General features: G+C 42.4%; 1 long non-coding RNA gene across 2 annotated transcripts, besides 2 other annotated features; it reads left to right on the top strand.

Annotated features, from left to right (window-relative positions):
• Positions 1-3143: 3143 nt before the first annotated feature.
• LOC105377094 (uncharacterized) lies at positions 3144-23647 on the top strand. Of its 2 annotated transcripts, XR_940846.3 has the most exons (4): positions 3144-3189; positions 12310-12412; positions 19611-19788; positions 23538-23647. It is a non-coding gene; the product is annotated as an uncharacterized LOC105377094 (long non-coding RNA). The 2 variants fall into 2 exon arrangements; XR_940847.3 differs by lacking the exon at positions 19611-19788.
• Positions 3328-3953: an enhancer, noted in NCBI's record as "NANOG-H3K27ac-H3K4me1 hESC enhancer chr3:53404491-53405116 (GRCh37/hg19 assembly coordinates)". NCBI's record gives its function as "activates a minimal SCP1, AML or CMV promoter by ChIP-STARR-seq in naive H9 embryonic stem cells {active_cell/tissue: H9 hESC(naive)}" and the evidence as "EXISTENCE:reporter gene assay evidence [ECO:0000049][PMID:30033119]".
• Positions 20881-21175: a silencer, noted in NCBI's record as "tiled region #4971; HepG2 Repressive non-DNase unmatched - State 23:Low". NCBI's record gives its function as "represses a minimal TATA promoter and a strong SV40 promoter by Sharpr-MPRA in HepG2 cells {active_cell/tissue: HepG2}" and the evidence as "EXISTENCE:reporter gene assay evidence [ECO:0000049][PMID:27701403]".
• Positions 23648-24361: the final 714 nt, after the last annotated feature.

The following is a 24361-nucleotide window of genomic DNA, read 5'->3' as shown; positions in this document are numbered from 1 at the left end:
TTCATTAGAACTTCTAAGGACCATCCACAGGCCCCAGGTAAAAAAGCATTGCAATAGGGCCGGGCGCGGTGGCTCAAGCCTGTAATCCCAGCACTTTGGGAGGCTGAGGCGGGCGGATCACAAGGTCAGGAGATCGAGACCATCTTGGCCGACATGGTGAAACCCCGTCTCTACTAAAAATACAAAAAAAATTAGCCGGGCGTGGTGGTGGGCGCCTGTAGTCCCAACTACTGGGGAGGCTGAGGCAGGAGAATGGCGTGAACCCGGGAGGCAGAGCTTGCAGTGAGCGTAGATTGCGCCACTGCACTCCAGCCTGGGAGACAGAGCAAGACTCCATCTCAAAAAAAAAAAAGCATTGCAATAATGATTTAGTCCCCCGATTTTGCTATACCAAGTATATCTACATTACCAGCAGTGTCACAACATGCTTTTAATTCATTCTTACTTTTAACATATATGCCAAATCTCAGCTAAGTTGGCTATTTGTGGGTATATCAGTATAAGTTCAATTAGCACAGAAAATCTGAAAACCCTGAAATATTTTCTTTCAGTTTTTTTAGAGAATTAACTTTTCCATTGACAAGGCTGATCAACAAAAAGACATTTAAATTAAGATTTGACTTATATTATACAATGATACTTGACACTCATCTTACACTGAAAACAAAACCAAACCAAAGGGAAGTCCAGACTTGGATACGGTGAAGAGTGGTGGAGGGGATACAGGATTCATCTCATCAACTAATCACTTCTTTCAGAAATATAATTAACCTTAGGAGCAGACAAAATTTACTCTGTGGCTTTGGGGTGGGCAAAAAACACTCCATATAGAAAATCCTTTATTCTACCATCTTTCAAATCTTCCATTCTAATTAGGGTATCCTTTTCTGAGGTGCCTTAAGAATCATCTTCTGGCCAGATACAGTGGCTCACGCCTATAATCCCAGCACTTTGGGAGGTCAACACAGGCAGATCACTTGAGGCCAGGAGTTCAAGACCCACCTGGCCAACATGGCAAAATCCCATCTCGACTAAAAATACAAAAATTAGCCAGGCGTGGTGGTGGGCATCTGTAATCCCAGCTACTTGGGAGGCTGAGGTGGGAGGATCACTTGAACTCAGGAGGTGGAGGTTGCAGTGAGCCGAGATGGCACCACTGCATTCCAGCCTGGGCTTCAGGAGTGAGACTCCGTCTCAAAAAAAAAAGCCTCTTCCTTCCTAAGAAGGCTGATTTCCTCATTGTAAGGGAGTCTGCAAATAGCATTACCGTTAAGTAACAGCAAAGTACTGTATCAATGTTTTTCTTCACATAATTAAAACAGCCTTTAATTTCCCTTTTCCCCAGGTGATGATTCCATTTTCTGGTCCAAAGTCCGCTCTGAACAAGAGTTTAGTCAGCTGCCTAAAACATTAAAAGGCTATTTTCAAACACTTCCAAAAGCTGACTCTTTTTCTGCACTATTTAATGACAAGGCGAAGAAAAGAGGGACAGAAGATAGTAACCGTAACATGTTCTCACCTCTAAGACCTTCTCTTCCCTGTACCCCACACCATCGCTAACCTCATCACTCAGAGACTAAACACCTTCTTCAGCATAAGCCCCCCTCTCTGCTGAGTCACTGAATGTTAGAGCAAGAAGCAGAGAACCGAAGCCCTTGCAGACCGGCAAGATGGCGACCCTGCTGCGCATTAAGAGCCTGGTTATGCAGCTGAAGCAAATTCACAGAAGTTCCCGCCTTCCAGTGTTAGGAGGAGATGTTAGGAAGTTTAAGGGAGGGGGTTTTCTCCTTTGTTTTTTGTTTTTTGAGACGGAGTCGTGCTCTGTCGCCAGGCTGGAGTGCAGTGGTGCGATCTCAGTTCACTGCAAACTCTGCCTCCCGAGTTCAAGCGATTCTCCTGCCTCAGCCTCCCGAGTAGCTGGGATTACAGGCGCGCGCCTACACGCCCGGCTAATTTTTGTATTTTTAGTACAGGCAGAGTTTCATCATGTTGGCCGGGATGGTCTCGATCTCGACCTCGTGATCCATCCACCTGGGCCTCTCAAAGTGCTGGGATTATAGGTGTGAGCCACCACGCCCAGCCAAGGGGAGGGTTTCTTTGTTTGGGAGGTTTTGTTTTGGGGGTTTGTTTGGTTTTTGTTGTTGTTGTTGTTGTTGCTGTTTGTTTTTTTCTTTTCTTTTTTTGCCTTCGTTCTGTTTCTCTGACTAGAATTACTTGTCACTTGTTTTTGTTATTCTTTCAACAGAAACCCTGGAGCATAGGGACACAGGACTTATAGGTGTGTACCTGATGCACTCTGAAATTACATTTAGCTTTTAAAGAGGTGTTATTTTGCTCGCTAGAGGGCTTTTTCTTTGCTTTCTAGGCTTAGCACAAGCTCCAAAATCAGATTTGGGTTCTCCCCCTCATAGTGGCCTTAATTATAGGGAGACAGTGGGCTTAACTAGTGAGTCTCCTTCATCTGATTGCACTGCTGTAGGCCTTTTGAAAGTCATTCAGGAAAATATACATAAGAAAAATTGCTATAGCTCTGTGCTGGACCAGCTCAGTGGAAAACTTCTGATTGCCTAGCAATATGCACTTGTCCTTGGCTAACAAATGTCCTCACTTGTTAACATAGATGCCTGGACTCAGCACTTTTCAGTCCTAAACTCTGTTGTCCTTTACTTCTCTTGACAGCTAGCATGTGTTTAAGGGATCCAGAGGGTTGTGGATGGCAATGTACTGGGAAATGTGAACTGTGGTGCCACTATCCATTTCCCAGACAAGGATGAGGGGTCTCTGGGCGGCCACCAGTGAAAGGTCAGGCTTGAGTTTCCAGGAAGGCAGACCCAAATTCCAGAGCCAAGCATTTCAGCGGAGTTACCACATTCTTAATGCATGCTGCCAGGAGTCGTGCTGGCTGTCCCGTACTTATAAAACGAATCTATCATTTATGGGCTGTGAAGAGGAAAGAGAATCTTGTTCTTGACTGAGCTTTTTACTAAGTGGAAGGCCCACGTTTTTCACAACGTGGCCAATTTCTCAATTTCTGTAAGCCTGGGAAGAAGGTAATATCAACCCTATTTTTTCAGATGAGAACACAGATCCAGGGGGAGGAGCCAAGATGGCCGAATAGGAACAGCTCCGGTCTACAGCTCCCAGCGTGAGCTACGCAGAAGACGGGTGATTTCTGCATTTCCATCTGAGGTACCGGGTTCATCTCACTAGGGAGTGCCAGACAGTGGGCGCAGGCCAGTGTGTGCGCGCACCGTGCGCGAGCCGAAGCAGGGCGAGGCATTGCCTCACCTGGGAAGCGCAAGGGGTCAGGGAGTTCCCTTTCCGAGTCAAAGAAAGGGGTGACGAACGCACCTGGAAAATCGGGTCACTGCCACCCGAATATTGCACTTTTCAGACCGGCTTAAAAAACGGCGCACCACGAGACTATATCCCACACCTGGCTGAGAGGGTCCTACGCCCACGGAATCTCGCTGATTGCTAGCACAGCAGTCTGAGATTAAACTGCAAGGCGGCAACCAGGCTGGGGGAGGGGCGCCCGCCATTGCCCAGGCTTGCTTAGGTAAACAAAGCAGCCGGGAAGCTCGAACTGGGTGGAGCCCACCACAGCTCAAGGAGGCCTGCCTGCCTCTGTAGGCTCCACCTCTAGGGGCAGGGCACAGACAAACAAAAAGACAGCAGTAACCTCTGCAGACTTAAGTGTCCCTGTCTGACAGCTTTGCAGAGAGCAGTGGTTCTCCCAGCACGCAGCTGGAGATCTGAGAACGGGCAGACTGCCTCCTCAAGTGGGTCCCTGACCCCTGACCCCCGAGCAGCCTAACTGGGAGGCACCCCCCAGCAGGGGCACACTGACACCTCACACGGCAGGGTATTCCAACAGACCTGCAGCTGAGGGTCCTGTCTGTTAGAAGGAAAACTAACAACCAGAAAGGACATCTACACCGAAAACCCATCTGTACATCACCATCATCAAAGACCAAAAGTAGATAAAACCACAAAGATGGGGAAAAAACAGAACAGAAAAACTGGAAACTCTAAAAAGCAGAGCGCCTCTCCTCCTCCAAAGGAACGCAGTTCCTCACCAGCAATGGAACAAAGCTGGATGGAGAATGATTTTGACGAGCTGAGAGAAGGAGGCTTCAGACGATCAAATTACTCTGAGCTACGGGAGGACATTCAAACCAAAGGCAAAGAAGTTGAAAACTTTGAAAAAAATTTAGAAGAATGTATAACTAGAATAACCAATACAGAGAAGTGCTTAAAGGAGCTGATAGAGCTGAAAACCAAGGCTCGAGAACTACGTGAAGAATGCAGAAGCCTCAGGAGCCGATGCAATCAACTGGAAGAAAGGGTATCAGCGATGGAAGATGAAATGAATGAAATGAAGCGAGAAGGGAAGTTTAGAGAAAAAAGAATAAAAAGAAATGAGCAAAGCCTCCAAGAAATATGGGACTATGTGAAAAGACCAAATCTACGTCTGATCGGTGTACCTGAAAGTGATGTGGAGAATGGAACCAAGTTGGAAAACACTCTGCAGGATATTATCCAGGAGAACTTCCCCAATCTAGCAAGGCAGGCCAACGTTCAGATTCAGGAAATACAGAGAACGCCACAAAGATACTCCTCGAGAAGAGCAACTCCAAGACACATAATTGTCAGATTCACCAAAGTTGAAATGAAGGAAAAAATGTTAAGGGCAGCCAGAGAGAAAGGTCGGGTTACCCTCAAAGGAAAGCCCATCAGACTAACAGCGGATCTCTCGGCAGAAACCCTACAAGCCAGAAGAGAGTGGGGGCCAATATTCAACATTCTTAAAGAAAGGAATTTTCAACCCAGAATTTCATATCCAGCCAAACTAAGCTTCATAAGTGAAGGAGAAATAAAATACTTTATAGACAAGCAAATGCTGAGAGATTTTGTCACCACCAGGCCTGCCCTAAAAGAGCTCCTGAAGGAAGCGCTAAACATGGAAAGGAACAACCGGTACCAGCCGCTGCAAAATCATGCCAAAATGTAAAGACCATCGAGACTAGGAAGAAACTGCATCAACTAACGAGCAGAATCACCAGCTAACATCATAATGACAGGATCAAATTCACACATAACAATATTAACTTTAAATATAAATGGACTAAATTCTGCAATTAAAAGACACAGACTGGCAAGTTGGATAAAGAGTCAAGACCCATCAGTGTGCTGTATTCAGGAAACCCATCTCACGTGCAGAGACACACATAGGCTCAAAATAAAAGGATGGAGGAAGATCTACCAAGCCAATGGAAAACAAAAAAAGGCAGGGGTTGCAATCCTAGTCTCTGATAAAACAGACTTTAAACCAACAAAGATCAAAAGAGACAAAGAAGGCCATTACATAATGGTAAAGGGATCAATTCAACAAGAGGAGCTAACTATCCTAAATATTAATGCACCGAATACAGGAGCACCCAGATTCATAAAGCAAGTCCTGAGTGACCTACAAAGAGACTTAGACTCCCACACATTAATAATGGGAGACTTTAACACCCCACTGTCAACATTAGACAGATCAACGAGACAGAAAGTCAACAAGGATACCCAGGAATTGAACTCAGCTCTGCACCAAGCGGACCTAATAGACATCTACAGAACTCTCCACCCCAAATCAACAGAATATACATTTTTTTCAACACCACACCACACCTATTCCAAAATTGACCACATAGTTGGAAGTAAAGCTCTCCTCAGCAAATGTAAAAGAACAGAAATTATAACAAACTATCTCTCAGACCACAGTGCAATCAAATTAGAACTCAGGATTAAGAATCTCACTCAAAGCCGCTCAACTACATGGAAACTGAACAACCTGCTCCTGAATGACTACTGGGTACAGAACGAAATGAAGGCAGAAATAAAGATGTTCTTTGAAACCAACGAGAACAAGGACACCACATACCAGAATCTCTGGGACGCATTCAAAGCAGTGTGTAGAGGGAAATTTATAGCACTAAATGCCTACAAGAGAAAGCAGGAAAGATCCAAAATTGACACCCTAACATCACAATTAAAAGAACTAGAAAAGCAAGAGGAAACACATTCAAAAGCTAGCAGAAGGCAAGAAATAACTAAAATCAGAGCAGAACTGAAGGAAATAGAAACACAAAAAACCCTTCAAAAAATCAATGAATCCAGGAGCTGGTTTTTTGAAAGGATCAACAAAATTGATAGACCGCTAGCAAGACTAATAAAGAAAAAAAGAGAGAAGAATCAAATAGACACAATAAAAAATGATAAAGGGGATATCACCACCAATCCCACAGAAATACAAACTACCATCAGAGAATACTACAAACACCTCTACGCAAATAAACTAGAAAATCTAGAAGAAATGGATACATTCCTCGACACATACACTCTCCCAAGACTAAACCAGGAAGAAGTTGAATCTCTGAATAGACCAATAACAGGATCTGAAATTGTGGCAATAATCAATAGTTTACCAACCAAAAAGAGTCCAGGACCAGATGGATTCACAGCTGAATTCTACCAGAGGTACAAGGAGGAGCTGGTACCATTCCTTCTGAAACTATTCCAATCAATAGAAAAAGAGGGAATCCTCCCTAACTCATTTTATGAGGCCAGCATCATTCTGATACCAAAGCCGGGCAGAGACACAACCAAAAAAGAGAATTTTAGACCAATATCCTTGATGAACATTGATGCAAAAATCCTCAATAAAATACTGGCAAACCGAATCCAGCAGCACATCAAAAAGCTTATCCACCATGATCAAGTGGGCTTCATCCCTGGGATGCAAGGCTGGTTCAATATACGCAAATCAATAAATGTAACCCAGCATATAAACAGAGCCAAAGACAAAAACCACATGATTATCTCAATCGATGCAGAAAAAGCCTTTGACAAAATTCAACAACCCTTCATGCTAAAAACTCTCAATAAATTAGGTATTGATGGGACGTATTTCAAAATAATAAGAGCTATCTATGACAAACCCACAGCCAATATCATACTGAATGGGCAAAAACTGGAAGCATTCCCTTTGAAAACTGGCACAAGACAGGGATGCCCTCTCTCACCGCTCCTATTCAACATAGTGTTGGAAGTTCTGGCCAGGGCAATCAGGCAGGAGAAGGAAATAAAGGGTATTCAATTAGGAAAAGAGGAAGTCAAATTGTCCCTGTTTGCAGACGACATGATTGTTTATCTAGAAAACCCCATCGTCTCAGCCCAAAATCTCCTTAAGCTGATAAGCAACTTCAGCAAAGTCTCAGGATACAAAATCAATGTACAAAAATCACAAGCATTCTTATACACCAACAACAGACAAACAGAGAGCCAAATCATGAGTGAACTCCCATTCACAATTGCTTCAAAGAGAATAAAATACCTAGGAATCCAACTTACAAGGGATGTGAAGGACCTCTTCAAGGAGAACTACAAACCACTGCTCAAGGAAATAAAAGAGGACACAAACAAATGGAAGAACATTCCATGCTCATGGGTAGGAAGAATCAGTATCGTGAAAATGGCCATACTGCCCAAGGTAATTTACAGATTCAATGCCATCCCCATCAAGCTACCAATGACTTTCTTCACAGAATTGGAAAAAACTACTTTAAAGTTCATATGGAACCAAAAAAGAGCCCGCATCGCCAAGTCAATCCTAAGCCAAAAGAACAAAGCTGGAGGCATCACACTACCTGACTTCAAACTATACTACAAGGCTACAGTAACCAAAACAGCATGGTACTGGTACCAAAACAGAGATATAGATCAATGGAACAGAACAGAGCCCTCAGAAATAACGCCGCATATCTACAACTATCTGATCTTTGACAAACCTGAGAAAAACAAGCAATGGGGAAAGGATTCCCTATTTAATAAATGGTGCTGGGAAAACTGGCTAGCCATATGTAGAAAGCTGAAACTGGATCCCTTCCTTACACCTTATACAAAAATCAATTCAAGATGGATTAAAGATTTAAACGTTAGACCTAAAACCATAAAAACCCTAGAAGAAAACCTAGGCATTACCATTCAGGACATAGGCGTGGGCAAGGACTTCATGTCTAAAACACCAAAAGCAATGGCAACAAAAGCCAAAACTGGGATCTAATTAAACTAAAGAGCTTCTGCACAGCAAAAGAAACTACCATCAGAGTGAACAGGCAACCTACAACATGGGAGAAAATTTTTGCAACCTACTCATCTGACAAAGGGCTAATATCCAGAATCTACAATGAACTCAAACAAATTTACAAGAAAAAAACAAACAACCCCATCAAAAAGTGGGCGAAGGACATGAACAGACACTTCTCAAAAGAAGACATTTATGCAGCCAAAAAACACATGAAAAAATGCTCATCATCACTGGCCATCAGAGAAATGCAAATCAAAACCACTATGAGATATCATCTCACACCAGTTAGAATGGCAATCATTAAAAAGTCAGGAAACAACAGGTGCTGGAGAGGATGTGGAGAAATAGGAACACTTTTACACTGTTGGTGGGACTGTAAACTAGTTCAACCATTGTGGAAGTCAGTGTGGCGATTCCTCAGGGATCTAGAACTAGAAATACCATTTGACCCAGCCATCCCATTACTGGGTATATACCCAAATGACTATAAATCATGCTGCTATAAAGACACATGCACACGTATGTTTATTGCGGCATTATTCACAATAGCAAAGACTTGGAACCAACCCAAATGTCCAACAATGATAGACTGGATTAAGAAAATGTGGCACATATACACCATGGAATACTATGCAGCCATAAAAAATGATGAGTTCATGTCCTTTGTAGGGACATGGATGAAATTGGAAACCATCATTCTCAGTAAACTATCGCAAGAACAAAAAACCAAACACCGCATATTCTCACTCATAGGTGGGAACTGAACAATGAGATCACATGGACACAGGAAGGGGAATATCACACTCTGGGGACTGTGGTGGGGTCGGGGGATGGGGGAGGGATAGCATTGGGAGATATACCTAATGCTAGATGACGAGTTAGTGGGTGCAGCGCACCAGCATGGCACATGTATACATATGTAACTAACCTGCACAATGTGCACATGTACCCTAAAACTTAAAGTATAATAATAATAAAAAAAAAAAGAAAAAAAAAAAAAAGAAAACAGATCCAGACAAGTTAAATGACTTCTTCCAAGGGGCCAGCCATCAGATGGAAAAGCCAAGATTATTTGAGTTTCTGATTTAGAATGCTCAGATGCTAGGTGTCTTAAAGCTTTCAGTGAGACACTGCTTTAACATATCAAACATATCACAGCAAATAGGAAAAAAGAAGAAGTTCTGCCCAAGACATAGTCCAAAAGAGTGTAACCTCAAAGAGAATTCATATGATTTTCTCTGAAACAAAAACAACAAAAAAGAATTGGCCAGGTGCAGTGGTTAACACCTGTAATCCCAGCTAATCAGAAGGCTGAGGTGAGAGGATCACTTGAGCCCAGGAGTTCAAGACCAGCCTGGGCAACATGGCAAGACCCCCATCTCTGGAAAAAAAAATCAAAAATCAGCCAGGTGTTGTGATGTGTGCCTGTAGTTCCAGCTACTTGGGGAGCTGAGACAGGATGATCACTTGAGCCCAGCAGTTGGAAGTTACAGTGAGCCATGATCACACCACTGAACACAAAAGCTTGGGTGACAGAGTGAGACCCTGTCTCTTAAAAAAAGAAAGAAGCCAGGCGCGGTGGCTCACGCCTGTAATCCCAGCACTTTGGGAGGCCGAGGCGGGCGGATCACCTGAGGTCAGGAGTTCGAGACCAGCCTGGCCAACATGGTGAAACCCCATATCTACTAAAACTGCAAAAATTAGCCAGGCGTGGTGGCACATGCCCGTAATCCCAGCTACTCGGGAGACTGAGGCAGGAGAATTGCTTGAGCCAGGGAGACCGAGGTTGCAGTGAGCCGAGGTCGTGCCATTGCACTCCAGCCTGGCCAACAGAGTGACACTCTGTCTCAAAAAGAAAAAAAAAAAAAAAAAGAAAGAAAAACAATTGGATGTGGCATCTTCTCCTGTCCTCTCAGGCTATCCTAACCCTATCCATTCACCAAGGCTCAGTTGCGTTACTGCCTTTTCTGTAATAGCTTCTCTGAGCGCTCTTCATCCGGACACCCAGCCCTAGATATCAGGACCATATACTACTTTATATTGCTAGTTCCCCCCTCTTCTAACTTCTTTTTCTAACTCCTAATTACCTGATGAAAATTTTTTGTTCGTTTGTTGTTTGAGATAGGGTCTCGCTCTGTTGCCTGGGCTGGAGTGCAGTGGCACAATCATGGCTCACTGCAGCCTCAAACTCCTAGTCCCAAGCAATCCTCCCACATTAGCATCCCCAACTGCTGGGATTACAGGCATATGCCACCATGGAAATTTTAATGAGAAGATAAATGGTAACAGGAAGAAAAAAAAGAAAAATCATGGACATTCCACAGATTGGAATCCAGATATGTTCCTAAGATATCCAGAATTAACTCCATTCCAGAGGAAGCATCTTGACTTGGTTGCACCCCATCTGCAGAGGAGGCAAAGCCAAAAACAGACCTTCCAAAGTCCAGTTCTGTGGGAGTGAATGCACTGAGTTACTCAGCACTGAGGAGGCAGGAGACAAGGAAACCTGTGGCTAGCTCCAAAGCAACGCCAGCTCCAGTCACAAAATTAAGAGTTAGGTCAATCACAAGGATCTTTCAAAAATAGTTCCCAGAGTTCTTATGCTATCTAATAAAATTTTATGGACACTAGAATTTTTATGGATTTCTCCTTTCTTGTTTCACAGCTCAGTTTTATTATTTTGCTAGCAAAAAACTATCTTTCATGCTTTGGTGAAACATCCACTATAAAAGCCAGTAGTAGGATAGATCAGGTAAAATACATAATACCTGGCAATGGCCCTCTAGACCACCATGAGTCCATTAGCATTTGTTTATGGGTTTTGCTAAGTGATTTCTTGGAAGCCAAAGGGTTAAGATCCCAGATGAGTCGTGAGGAAGAACAAGCTTGTGGGATGAATGCTGTGGTGGTAAATGCTGGGTCCACCTCTGCACACAGGCTCTGTCATTTCATATATCGAACTGCCCATTTTTCCCTAAATAAAACAAGGGTAATCATACTTGCCCTGTCCCGGATTGAGTTAAAGGAGATAATATATATGGACATTCTACATAATGGGTTAATATAGCAGGGAATATATTGAAGATCAAAGTACCAAAAGCATGGTGCTTTGTTCATTGTGGCAGAGCTCTGATATAGTTTATCAGTATTATTATCCTGGAACTGTAGGCCCAAGATTGTTTTGTCTATTCAAAATTGAACTACCTAATGTGTTCATCATGTAAACTTTGGCCTCTTTATACTTCTACACTTCCATACTTCCATACTTCTATAAATGCTTTTCCAAAGAATCACAATAATTTCTAATAAATCTACCATGGATGTGATCAAAAATTGAAATGCATAAATGTTTATTGGAAGAAACACTACTGAGTCCTCAAAAGCATATTGACTATGTTTTTGGTTTAAAGTTAAAAATATTGGCCAGGGATGGTGGCTCATACCTGTAATCCCAGCACTTTGGGAGGCCAAGGCAGATGGATCACCTAAGGTCGGGAGTTCGAGACCAGCCTGGCCAACATGGTGAAACCCCAACTCTACTAAAAATGTAAAAATTAGCTGGGCATGGTGGCGTGCTCCTGTAATCCCAGCCAAGGTGGGAGAATTGCTTGAACCAGGAAGGCAGAGGCTGCAGTGAGCTGAGATCGCGCCACTGTACTCCAGCCTGGGCAACAGAGCGAGACCTGGTCTCAAAAAAAAAAAAAAAAAGTATTTTAGCACACCATACAAATATCTGATGGTGATGGCTTTAAATAAAACTGATTCAGTCAGGGCAGTGGTGTCTCATGCCTGTAATCACTTTGGGAGGCCAAGGCGGGAGGATCACTTGAGGCCAGGAGTTTGAGACCAGCCCGGGCAACAGAGTGAGACCCCCGACTCTACAACAAAAGTTAAAAAATAAGCCAGGCATGGTGATGCATGCCTGTGGTCCCAGCTACTTGGGAGGCTGGGGTGAGAGGATCACTGGAGCCCAGGAGGTTGAGGCTGCAGTGAACCATGATCACACCACTGCACTCCAGCCTAAGTGACAGAGCGAGACCCTGTCTTTAAAAATAAATAAATAAATAAATAAATAAAACAAGATTTAAAAATTGAGTAGAAGTTGATAGGGAAGCCAAGTCTGTGTTTTCTCCCTTAGCTTTTAACATTTCATTTTCTCCTTATCTGCATCTTAGAGGACAGGTGACCGCAAAGCAGAAGTGATGAAGAGCCAGTCACCATGGCCACATCTTGAGGTCACACAGTCAGCAGTTCGCTTTGCTCACTCAGTCCTATAAAGTGAGTAAGTCTAATGGATGTGGGCCTGCTATGGCCTGCAGATTTGTGTCCCCACCAAATTCATATGTTGAAACTTAATCCCTAGTGCAGTGGTGTTGGGAGGGTGGACATCTGGGAGGTGATTAGGTCATGAGGGTTCCACCTTGATGAATGGGATTAATGCCCTTCTAAAAGATACTTGGGCCGGGCGCGGTGGCTCATGCCTGTAATCCCAACACTTCGGGAGGCCGAGGCTGGTGGATCACCTGAGGTCAGGAGTTTGAGACCAGCCTGGCCAACACAGTGAAACCCCATCTCTACTAAAAATACAAAAATTAGCTGGGTGTTGTGGTGGGTGCCTGTAATCCCATCTATTCAGGAGGCTGAGGCAGGAGAATTGCTTGAACCCGGGAGGTGGAGGTTGCAGTGAGCTGAGATAGTGCCATTGTATTCCAGCCTGAGCGACAAGAGAGAAATTCCATCTCAGAAAAAATAAATGAATAAGTAAAATAAAAGAGACTTGGGGGAGCCTGTTTGCCTTTCTGTTATGTGAGGATGCGGCAAGAAGGTGCTATCTGTAAAGCAGAGAGCCCTCACCAGACACTGACTCTACTGTCACCATGATCCTGGTGCCAGCCTTCAGAACTGTGAACTATTCATTTATGTTCTTTATAATAGTCTAAGGTATTTTGTTACAGCAACTCAGATGGACTAAGACAGGGCCTAACTCATATTTTTAGAAAAGGTCAGTCCTCTTTTGTTTCACAATGTTAACATGTTGACCCTCCACCAGACTTAAGAATAATGTAAACTCATTGGTTTTGCCTCTGAAACCTATTTTGCATGACCAGTCTCTGGTCTGAAAGGACAAAATCCAAAGACTGCTCTTTTTTTATGGTCAGTGATACCCTTTATGGATACCTTTTAAAAAGATCATTTGACCCACATCAGAAAAGATCTATACTATTGTAACTTTCAAAATCAGTTGCTTACCTGGAAGAGGATTACATAAAAATAAATTAATTAATGAATTAATTAAAAATCAGTTGATTTCTTTTAGGGGAAGAAAAGACTCCTTGCTCATTCTGAGAAGGCACAGCAAAATATGACATTAAGATTACCCGTCAGTTTGGCCAGGTACAGTGGCTCACCCCTGTAATCCCAGCACTTTGGGAGGCCGAGGAGGGTGGATCACAAGGTCAAGAGATCAAGAACATCCTGGCCAACATGGTAAAACCCCGTCTCTACTAAAAATACAAAAATTAGCTGGGCGTGGTAGTGCACACCTGCAGTCCCAGCTACTCTGGAGGCTAAGGCAAGAGAATCGCTTGAACCCGGGAGGTGGAGGTTTCAGTAAGCTGAGATCGTACCACTGCACTCCAGCCTGGGAGACAGAGCAAGACTTCGTCTCAAAAAAAAAAAAAAAAATTAAGATTACCTGTCAGTTTGATGCAGCTGACGTATTTCTAACAATTACAAGCTACAAGGCACTGTTTCCTTCGTGTGCCTTTCAACAGATCTGTTGGCTGCTTTCTATAGATGATGTATGTCAATACTCAGGGATTCACTGACTAAAAAGTTAGAAATCCTATTCACATATATTCTATTAGTATAAACTGTGGTTGGGCATTTTTTCCTCCCAAGCTTAGTTTTCAGTAAATTACTTTAAATGCAGGAATTTGTAGCAAGCAGAAAATGCCGATATGGTAATGTTTCACCTGAGCAATCGTACTTGCATTACCTTTGCTAAACTAGACATCAATCTAGCTCAAAAACAGATAAATGGAAAGTTTGAAATTGTGTACGTTCTCCTGTGTTTCATTATTGAAGAATGAGAGGCCATCCGTGGAAAACAATAATAGGAAAGGGGTCACTAGATAAGAAAACAAAAACCTTTCTATAGGAAAACATCCATTTAAGTCACCAATACTTAAGAAACACACAATTTGTAGGTATTTACAATTTAAAAGCCCCAATTTCCTCCCAACATCCCTTAAAACTAAGTTACATCTATCACCAAACAGTCTCACTTAGACTATTTTCCAGTATTAAATATTACATTAGACTATTTTCCAGTATTAAATATTACACAAATACATGTGCTTTAACATACTCTTAAGAGAACAAAAACAAAGAAGTATCTGAGAGGTCAAAAAAACATTAACAAATGACTTTTCAAAACTAGAGGTAGCTCTTTTAAGAAGTAATGTTGGCAGCTTATGCTACTAGAAGATTTCAAACAAAAATAACCATATCGTATTTCTCATGCAATTTTACCCAGGAAGACATTTAATTTTATGAGATTTTGATGCCATATCTTCTTATTTCACTTTTTTTCTTCTACTTATCAGTGATGCAAAGAAAATAAAATTACAAATATACAGAACATACATAATGAGATTCTATTTGGTTCACATTTTAACATTACCTTTCTACACCATCTGCCTCTGGATTTTCAATAAGACATCTTTTGGTTTGTAAATCTTCGTCTTTGCCAAAAGACAGTTTCTAGAGGTTCAGAAAGTTGTCACACTAATACAGTCACAAAATGAAGCAGCATGGAGCAGCTTAGGAGGACACAGGAGAGTGGGTGTTTTATTACATTTCCGTCCCAGATCATTGTTTCTAGGAGGTAATTCATAAATTTTTAATTCTTCTAGTGTTCTTGAGCAATGTAAAAAGGACCACTCCTCACCCAGTTCAACCTCTTTTATCACAGTAGTTGCAACAATTTTATTATGCAAGAAAAATTGGTTATTCTATTATCTTGATGCTTATTTAATAGCAAAGCATAATTTATGCCCTTCTCTTTAGATAATGAACATTAAGATCTCCTTCAAGGTCCGCTACAGGTAATATTCCTTAAATTCAAGGCTGCAGGCAACATACAGATGAGTGAATGGTTTTTCATATTGTGACAGTTAATCTTCATTAAATTATAGCATTTCAGTAATTCGGAGTGATTTTCAATATATCTTGTTTAACACTAATTTCTATAAGTGCAATTGAGTGGGAAAAGACACAATGTTTTCAACACTTGAGCCCTCAGGATAAATGAATTTAAGTTTACCAAAAATAACATAAATGTAGTCCACTATCTGGACTGTGTTCATTATTCCACAAATCATATAATGAGTGGTTTACACAAGAAAGACTCCTAATGAATCCTGTATTGGTTTTGCCCCAAGTAGACCACATGTTGGAGACCTAAATTAAGATAGCATTCAATTGAAAAAATAGGAAGCAACTGAACCCTTTAACTATGTAACACTGTGGTTTTACCTCAAAGTGGGAGGATACAATGAAGATAAATAATTCATTCCTCTGGGTGTTTCTGTGCAGTTTTGATCCATAGGAGTTCAACAGCTTATCAGTATGCCCTGGTCATCGAACAATCAAATTGCAGATCCAAGGGAACTAAAACTTATTAAATGAGGCCGGGCGCAGTAGTCATGCCTGTAATCCCAGCACTTTGGGAGGCCGAGGTGGGTGGATCACCTGAGGTCAGGAGTTCAAGACCAGCCTGGCCAAAATGGTGAAACCCTGTCTCTACTAAAAATATAAAAACTAGCCAGACATGATGGTGGGTGCCTGTAATCCCACCTACTCGGGAGGCTGAGGCAGGAGAATTGCTTGAACCCAGGAGACGGAGGTTGCAGTGAGCCAACACGGTGCCACTGCACTCCAGCCTCAGCAACAGAGTGAGACTCCATCTCCAAAAAAAAAAAAAAAAAAAAAAGAAAAACAACTTATTAAATGAATTAAATGCATATGTAAAAATCATTATGAACCAGGCATGGTGGCACACACCTGTATTTCTAGCTACTTGGGAGTCTGAGGCAGGAGGATCACTTGAGCCCAGGAGTTGGAGGCTGCAGTGCACTATGATCACACCTGCGAATCGCCACTGCACTCCAGCCTGGGCAACATAGCAAGACCCCCATCTCTAAAAAGAATTATTATTATTATTACTACGTTAATTTTGCCAGATAAATAAATATTTGTGAATGAATAATAGTAATATAAGATTAGAGGCACCCTAGAACTGAAACTGGGAAGATACAGAAAGCATCAGGAACAGAAAGAGTCTATAGGTTCTGTTGGTACTTCTGCAGAAACAACAAAGAAGCTTGCAGTGTTCAGAATTGAAAAAGTGGACAGATGCCTTTAATCAAACTCTTCTTATTTTGTTGGTCTAAGAAATATTTGTATTTTCGTATGCCTGAGGGGAAAAGAAAGGCAGGATTAAAGGAACTCTGAGCATATTTGTGGAACTCTCATGGAAAAGTGCATTTTAAATGACAACCTCCCATTTTGGCTTAGCAGATTACTTCATGATGCAATTGCAAAATCAATTGCCTAATGGTATAGACAAAAACATTTTTGGTCTTTAGCCACTTTGTGACTCTGCAAATTTGTGCCTCTAACTGATTGTAAATGCAGAGCTATGCCTGGAGTTCTTTTAAAATCTTGACTTATTGTCAAAGCACTAAGCAGTGTGTTCTGGTAAATCATGTGCTTAATTTTAATTCTATTTCTGAAGGCTGAAGTTTTATTGCTGACTTTCTAAACAATCTGGAGCGGTGTAATTAACTGAGATAGGCTTCACTGAGGTAACAAAGAGACCCCAAAGTTCATCATCTCTTAAAGTCAACAGGCTATGTTTCTCATTCACATAACAGTCTGAGAAGGATAGTCTGGTCATCAGGCAACACTCTTCAGTATGGTGATTCAAGGTCCAAGCTCTTTCCAATCCTGGCTCTGCCATTCCTTATGGTCTCACCATTGCGGCACCCAGTCAACAGAAAAGGAATAAGAAAGTGTGGAGAGACAACATGCTCCTTCAAACCTGGGACTGGAGATGGCACACAGCTTTTCCACTAATATTCTGCTGACCAGAATTGGGTCATAGAGCCATGCCTAATGCAAAGGAGCTTGGGAAATGAAGCCTAGCTGTGTGCCCAATGCAATGGGGAAGGATCAAAGGATTGTTGTGAACCCAAAAGAGCTCTGCCACAGTCAAGTCAGCTAATCTCCTCTTACCTCTGAACTCCTTCATCTGCAAATGGGCAACAATTTATGTACATCCAATATCTATTTTGAGAGCTTGTGAATAGGTATACCTAGGAAGTACTTTGAGCTCCATGGATAAGCAGTGTATCCGTTGACTATATTGCTATTGTTTATGCCACTGCTGTGCTATTGCTATTTGAAACATTACACTGAGTTAAGTAACAGTAAAAAACATAATACTTTCTACCTAAGAACATCATAAGAACACTATGTTACAAAGTCTTGCCTGGTAATAAAGGGATGATCTAAAGGCTGTCTAGTCCTACCTTCCTATATTCTAGGTGCATTACTCCAAATGGAACAGCTATTTCTTCCTTTCTGATTGAAAGCATTTCTGCTCCAGAACTGACAGACTAAACTAGTTCACATTTCAGAAGTATAATTCTAGAGAACATCAAGCACCTTTAAAAATATAAAGTATCATTTTAAAATACAAAGTTCTGAGACCTTTCTGAGAAACCGAAAGAAAGCATTACTGTCCCAAATATCTGGTAAGGACCTGGAATGAATTTTACAGTAAGTCCACAATCTTTTGGATCAATCATGAAAAATAAATATCAGTGGTGAAACAGCAGCACAAGGATAACAAGTTTCACTCACGTGTAGCCAGTGTAATTTAAGAGCCTGCCAGGCAGCATGGTAGCAAGATACGTGATCTACCTGGAAGCCAAGGCTAGAAGATGCTAATCTTAACTCAGCAGATGAATCATTATATGACCCTGAGAAAATTAGTTAGCTTTGGTTTCCTGGCCCAAAAAGGCGAACAGGAATAAGCGGATACTTCCAGAATAAATTTTAAAAATCAGAGAGAGAGGCCGTGCACGGTGGCTCACGCCTGTAATCCCAAAACTTTGGGAAGCTGAGGTGGGAGGATCACGAGGTCAGGCAATCGAGACCATCCTGGCTAATACAGTGAAACCCCGTCTCTACTAAAAATACAAAAAAATTCCCAGGCGTGGTGGCGGGCACCTGTAGTCCCAGCTACTTGGGAGGCTGAGGCAGGAGAATGGCATGAACCAGGGAGGCGGAGGTTGCAGTGAGCTGAGATAGGGCCACTGCACTCCAGCCTGGGTGACAGAGCAAGACTATGTCTCAAAAAAAAAAAAAAAAAAAATCAGAGAGAGGGAGAGAGGAAAGGGAAAGAGTGGGGAGGGGGAGAGGTAAAGGAGGGCAGGGAAGAGGGGAAATGCGGGGAGAGAAGAAGAGAATGGAAATGGAGAAACTTGTAAGATTGAAAAGGTGCTGAAGATTGTTCTGGGCTACACTAAAAACAATATGTTTGCTTCAGGAAGCATAAAGCCTCAGAATGAGAATATATTAATACAAGTAAATCAGGCATTATTATTTAATTAGCACTCATGAAAAACAAATGGTTTGTTAGAGGTGGAGTTGAAATCACCATCCCTTCTGTAAGATTTATGCAACAGAAGAAGAGAGAGCATCCTAACATTCCAATTAATTCAAGAGATACGTATGTTAGGCCTTGATTTTGCCAGGTACTGGGAATGTAATGGTCAAAGAGACAGACATGATTCCTACCTTCATCAAATGAATGAGACAGACCACACATAAATAACTACAACTTGCAGATAAGTGCTATGAAGAAAGTGAAGGAAATGAGTCATGAGGATATCTAAGAAATAACAGAAAGAAGAATGTTTCAGAAAAGGGAAACAGCAAGTACAAAGGACCTGAGATAAGACTGCTTTGGCATTGTTAAGCAAAGTGTATGGGAGGCCATTATTTTGGACTAGCCTCCTGCACTAGGCCCCAGCAGACCAGACAAAACCATAATGGAGTCACTTGTGCTAAGTGACATAATCCAACTGAACTCGGAAAAGGGCCCATTTTCCAAAAACAGGAGATTTACAGCAACCAATCAGAAGGGCCCTAGTTTACCTGAGCTGGCATAAGGAAGTTTCTCTGTTCTAACACTATAAGGAAATTAACTTTGAAGTGACCAATCTGCTTTTTGTTTCCTGTTTCAGCTTTCTTCAGCCCTTCTCTGCCTGTAAAGCCAACCTCCTCTGATCAGCTCATTGGAATACTCATTCTATTTTATATACCCAATTCAAGAATGACAAATGAAAGCCAATTTGATCTTTAAACTAAATTTGTTGTAATTTTTTTCTTTTGTAATATACAGAACAGCAAGGTGGCCAGTGGGCTAGTGTGAAATAATTAAGAGGACAATTCATAGAAAATGGAAATGGAAAGACAGCAGGAGGGCAGACCAAACAGTATCTCCTGGACCCGTTAAAGGCTTTGGATTTTACACTGGAGAAATGGAAAGCCTGCGACTAACTGAAAAAGTTACACAGCTGGTAGGTTAGGAACTAAAGGACTGATTTCCCGACTTGAATTCCAGTGCCCTTTCCCTTAGATCCCACGATGTAAAGTGGCAAGTTTGATTTTTTACCACAAAGCCACTCCAACTGGGGGAGAGGAGGGATTGGATTGATTGGGTTTTAGGTTTTCATTTTTTAAAATTATTTTTAATTTTTTAAAAAATAGGCCAAGTCGGACATGGTGGCTCACGCCTGTAATCCCAGCACTTTGGGAGGCCAAGGCAGGCAGATCACCTGAGGTCAGGAGTTCGAGACCAGCCTGACCAACATAGAGAAACCCCGTCTCCACTAAAAATACAAAATTAGCTAGGCATGGTGGTGCATGCCTGTAATCCCAGCTACTCGGGAGGCTGAGGCAGGAGAATCACTTGAACCTGGGAGGCAGAGGTTGCTGTGAGCTGAGATCATGCCATTGCACTCCAGCCTGGGCAACAAGAGTGAAACTCCATCTCAAAAAAAAAAAAAAAAAAAAAAAATAGGCCAGGCATGGTGGTATGCACCTGTACCCCCAGCTACTCAGGAGGCTGAGGTGGGAGGAATGCTTGAGCCCAGAAGTTTGAGGCCAGCCTGGGAAATATAGCAAGACCCAATTTCACACACACACAAGTTGACATACATGGAACACACCTCAAAAGTTGAAACTGGCTGGGCGCGGTGGCTCACGCCTGTAATCCCAACACTTTGGGAGGCCGAGGCGCGCAGAGCACGAGGTCAGGAGATCGAGACCATCCTGTCTAACATGGTGAAACCCCGTCTCTTCTAAAAATACAAAAAATTAGCCAGGCGTGGTGGCGGGCGCCTGTAGTCCCAGCTACTCAGGAGGCTGAGGCAGGAGAATGGCGTGAACCCGGGAGGCGGAGCTTGCAGTGAGTGGAGATCATGCCACTACACTCCAGCCTGGGCGACACAGCGAGACTCCGTCTCAAAAAAAAAAAAAAGTTGAAACCACTGTTGCAAAGTTTCTGACACTTTGAAAAGTCTAGCATGGCTGACCCTATCTTCCTTCTGGCCTCACAGGCTGGCTCTTCTTGCTCATTTCTGGGCACAGACCAAGATAACAATGAGAGGAATTTAGTTTATAGTTTAACTTGGAAGCAGACATGATAATAATCTCTCCCTAAAACCAACCCCCTCCTTGATGAGGGACTGAAACCGCCTTTGTAAAACTAACTAAAGGCCATGAGATTAGGATTAGGGGAGGGGCCTGAATTCTGCTAAGATGAAGGCATAGTTTCTATAATCCCTTACTGCTCAGGAGTCATGTGGCCAGAGGTCACAAAATTTGTAACTTCCTCCATTGCTCCTATAAATAACATCACTATCGTAGACCCTAAGATTGGTCTTTTGAGATATTTTTTCAGACTTTGCATTCTGGCAACTGAGTGACCCCACCTGGACCCTGACTCATGACTTAACTAGTCCTGTGGCCCCCACTCAGAGGCAGACTCAGTGCATTAGGACAGTTTTCCACACCCCTATGATTTCATCACCAACCAATCAGTAGCACGCATTCCCTAGCCCACTACCCACCAAATTATCCATAAAAACCCTAACCTCTGAGTTCTCAGGAAGACTAATTTGAATAATAACTCTAATCCTTCCATTTGGCTAGCTCTGCATTTATAAAATTCTTTCTCAGCTGGGTGTGGTGGCTCATGCCTGTAATCCCAACACTTTGGGAGGCCCAGGCGGGTGGATCACGAGGTCAGGAGTTTGAGACCAGCCTGGCCAATATGGTGAAACCCCATCTCTACTAAAAATACAAAAATTAGTTGGGTGTGGTGGCACATGCCTGTAGTCCCAGCTACCTGGGACGCTGAGGCAAAAGAATTGCCTGAACCCGGGAGACAGAGGTTACAGTGAGCTGAGATCATGCCACTGCACTCCAGCCTGGGCAACAGAGCGAGACTCCATCTCCAAAAAAAAAAAAAACAACTCTTTCTCTACTGTAATACCATGGTCTCAGTAAATTGGTTTTGTCTGTGCAGCAGGCAGGAAGAACACGTCGGGCGATTACAAAGTGACTGTAGGTTATTGTGTCTAGAATAGAGCCTCCTTCCCAACTCTGTCACTCAGCTTCCTCCCCTCCTTCCTAGTAGTGTTTTGTGTGGCCTGGAAGTAGTTGGGTTTCAAGAGGACATTCAATCACCAATATTTATTGAGAGTCTACTCTATGCTAGGAGCTGGGCTAGCTAGGTACTGGGGACCTAATAAGACTAAGATGCCATCTCTGCCCTCTCAGAGTCTATTGTCTAAAGACACAAGAAAGGTCTTAAGGTTTGACTCACAAATATAAGGCAAAATTAGGCCTCACGATAAATGAAGATGAATTTCAAGTCCAAAATATTCATATTATCTTTAATATGTCCTAAGAGCTATATGGGGCATCAGAGCATGTTTAGAGGCAGGCAAATATGTATTTCGGAGTGATTTTCTTTTTTTGTTTGTTTGTTTGTTTGTTTTGAGACAGAGTCTCACTGTCGCCCAGGCTGGAGTGTAGTGGCACGATCTCAGCTTGCTGCAAGCTCCACCTCCCGGGTTCACGCCATTCTCCTGCCTTAGCCTCCCGAGTAGCTGGGACTACAAGCGCCCGCCACCATGCCTGGCTAATTTTTTGTATTTTTAGTAGAGACGGGGTTTCACTGTGTTAGCCAGGATGGTCTCAATCTCCTGACTTTGTGATCCGCGCACCTCAGCCTCCCAAAGTTCTGGGATTATAGGCATGAGCCACCGCACCCGGCCCAGAGTAATTTTCTATTCCAAATATGAAAATTCCCTAAAATAACTTGGTGTTCTTTAATAGGCTAGCCCTGCTCAATCAAAAATAGTAAATTAAAATGAAATGTCTTCGATTATTTTAGGAAATCTATGTAAGAAAAAAAACTAAGTTTCAGGTGTGCCTTTTGAATTTTGTACCAGATGAATGTATGTTTTTTAAACATTAAAGTGCAGATTTTTAAAAATTAGGGTGCGGATTTTTAAAACAGATTGAAGGTAAGTAGAGAGGAATAGGGCTCTTACCTCCAGCCACTGGAAGGAAGAAAGGCATCTGGGGCGTGTAGGAAAGGATCCCAGGGTAGAAGATAGGAGTCCCTAGATTCTAATACTGGATCCTCTGTGACTAGTGTGGAATTTTGAGCCAGTGAATTCTCCCCACAGGTCTCAATTAAATCATCTGTCAAATGAGGGTGACGACATCTTCTCTACCTCACCACTGAGCTGTGAAATGAACCAGAGGCCTTACTTTTTTCCCCTGAACTCCCAGTCATCCCTAGAACACCAATTTGAACATCATCTCCTTCAGGAAGCCCTCCTAGACTTTCCCAGCCAGTTAAGTTAGCGGCTCTGTCCTCTGGATTTCAAAGAGAAATGTCTCTAGCATCATCCCTGTTTCCTTGCACTGTCCTACTTTCTTTTTTCCCTCAGAGCCAGGAATGTCTTAAACAGAGTGAGATGCTCCCAAGGGGCCACCAGCTCACAATTAGGAGTTCAATAAATACTGACTTAAGAGTGAATGAATGATATCTGTGTCTTTGTCCACATTTGTACATGTTTACATGATTCTGCAAAGAATCTAAATTTCTCTTTACATTAACAAACAGGGGGGCTGGGCACGGTGGCTCAAGCCTGTAATCTCAGCATTTTTGTTAACCAGGACAGCCCTGACAAAATAACTGGGAAAGTTCCTTTTTCTTATTGTTTTTCTTTGGTCCCTTTATCTATAGACACTGCTGCTTAAAGAAACCAGATGGCGCCAGAGCTTCTTGACCCCTGACCAGATGCCAGAGGAAGATAAGACACCATAAAACCAGCGCAAATGGGAACTGGCAAACCCTGGGTGCCTTTAGATCATGAACATATCATTATAATGCTAATTTCCCTTCCCTAAAAGAAAATCTCTGCCATTTTGTGTACATATGATATATGAAGATGCATGTTTATGAATTGGGCCTGCGTGTCTGGAGTCCCACCCTGCACATACTAACATTCCTTTCCTGCCCCATAGGAATAAAGGCAATAAACCCCTTGCCTTTTATTCTTCAAGAAAAGATGCTTTCAGAGGAAGAGCTCACCTTCTCCATTCCCTGGCAAATGAATAAAACCTGATTGCCTTTTTCAATGGGATATTCTTTGTTTGTGACTGATACACAGTGGGGAAAAAACTCATTTTATCAGGGACACTTTGGGAGACCCAGGCCAGAGGATTGGTTGAGGCCAGGAGTTTGAGACCAGCCTGGGCAATAGAGCCAGACCCCATTTCTAAAAAAAAAAAAAAAAAAAAAAAAAAAAAGTTTTAATTAGCCAGGTGTGCTGGCACACAATTCAAGTTGTTTCACCTTTCTGGACAGAACCAATATACACCTGAAATGTATTTGATGTCTCATCTCTCCCAAAAATGTATAAAACCAAGCTGTGCCCCAATCACCTTGGGCACATGTTCTCAGGATCTCCTGAGAGCTATGTCAAGGGCTATGGTCACTCATAGTTGGATCAGAATAAATTTCTTCAACTATTTTACAGAGTTTGACTCTTCTCATCAACACAATGA

This window comes from Homo sapiens, chromosome 3 (assembly GCF_000001405.40).
Source record: "Homo sapiens chromosome 3, GRCh38.p14 Primary Assembly".
Classification (NCBI taxonomy): Eukaryota; Metazoa; Chordata; class Mammalia; order Primates; family Hominidae; genus Homo; species Homo sapiens.
The sequence above is the reverse complement of the archived record's forward strand: the minus strand, read 5'-3'. Positions and strand labels throughout refer to the sequence as shown.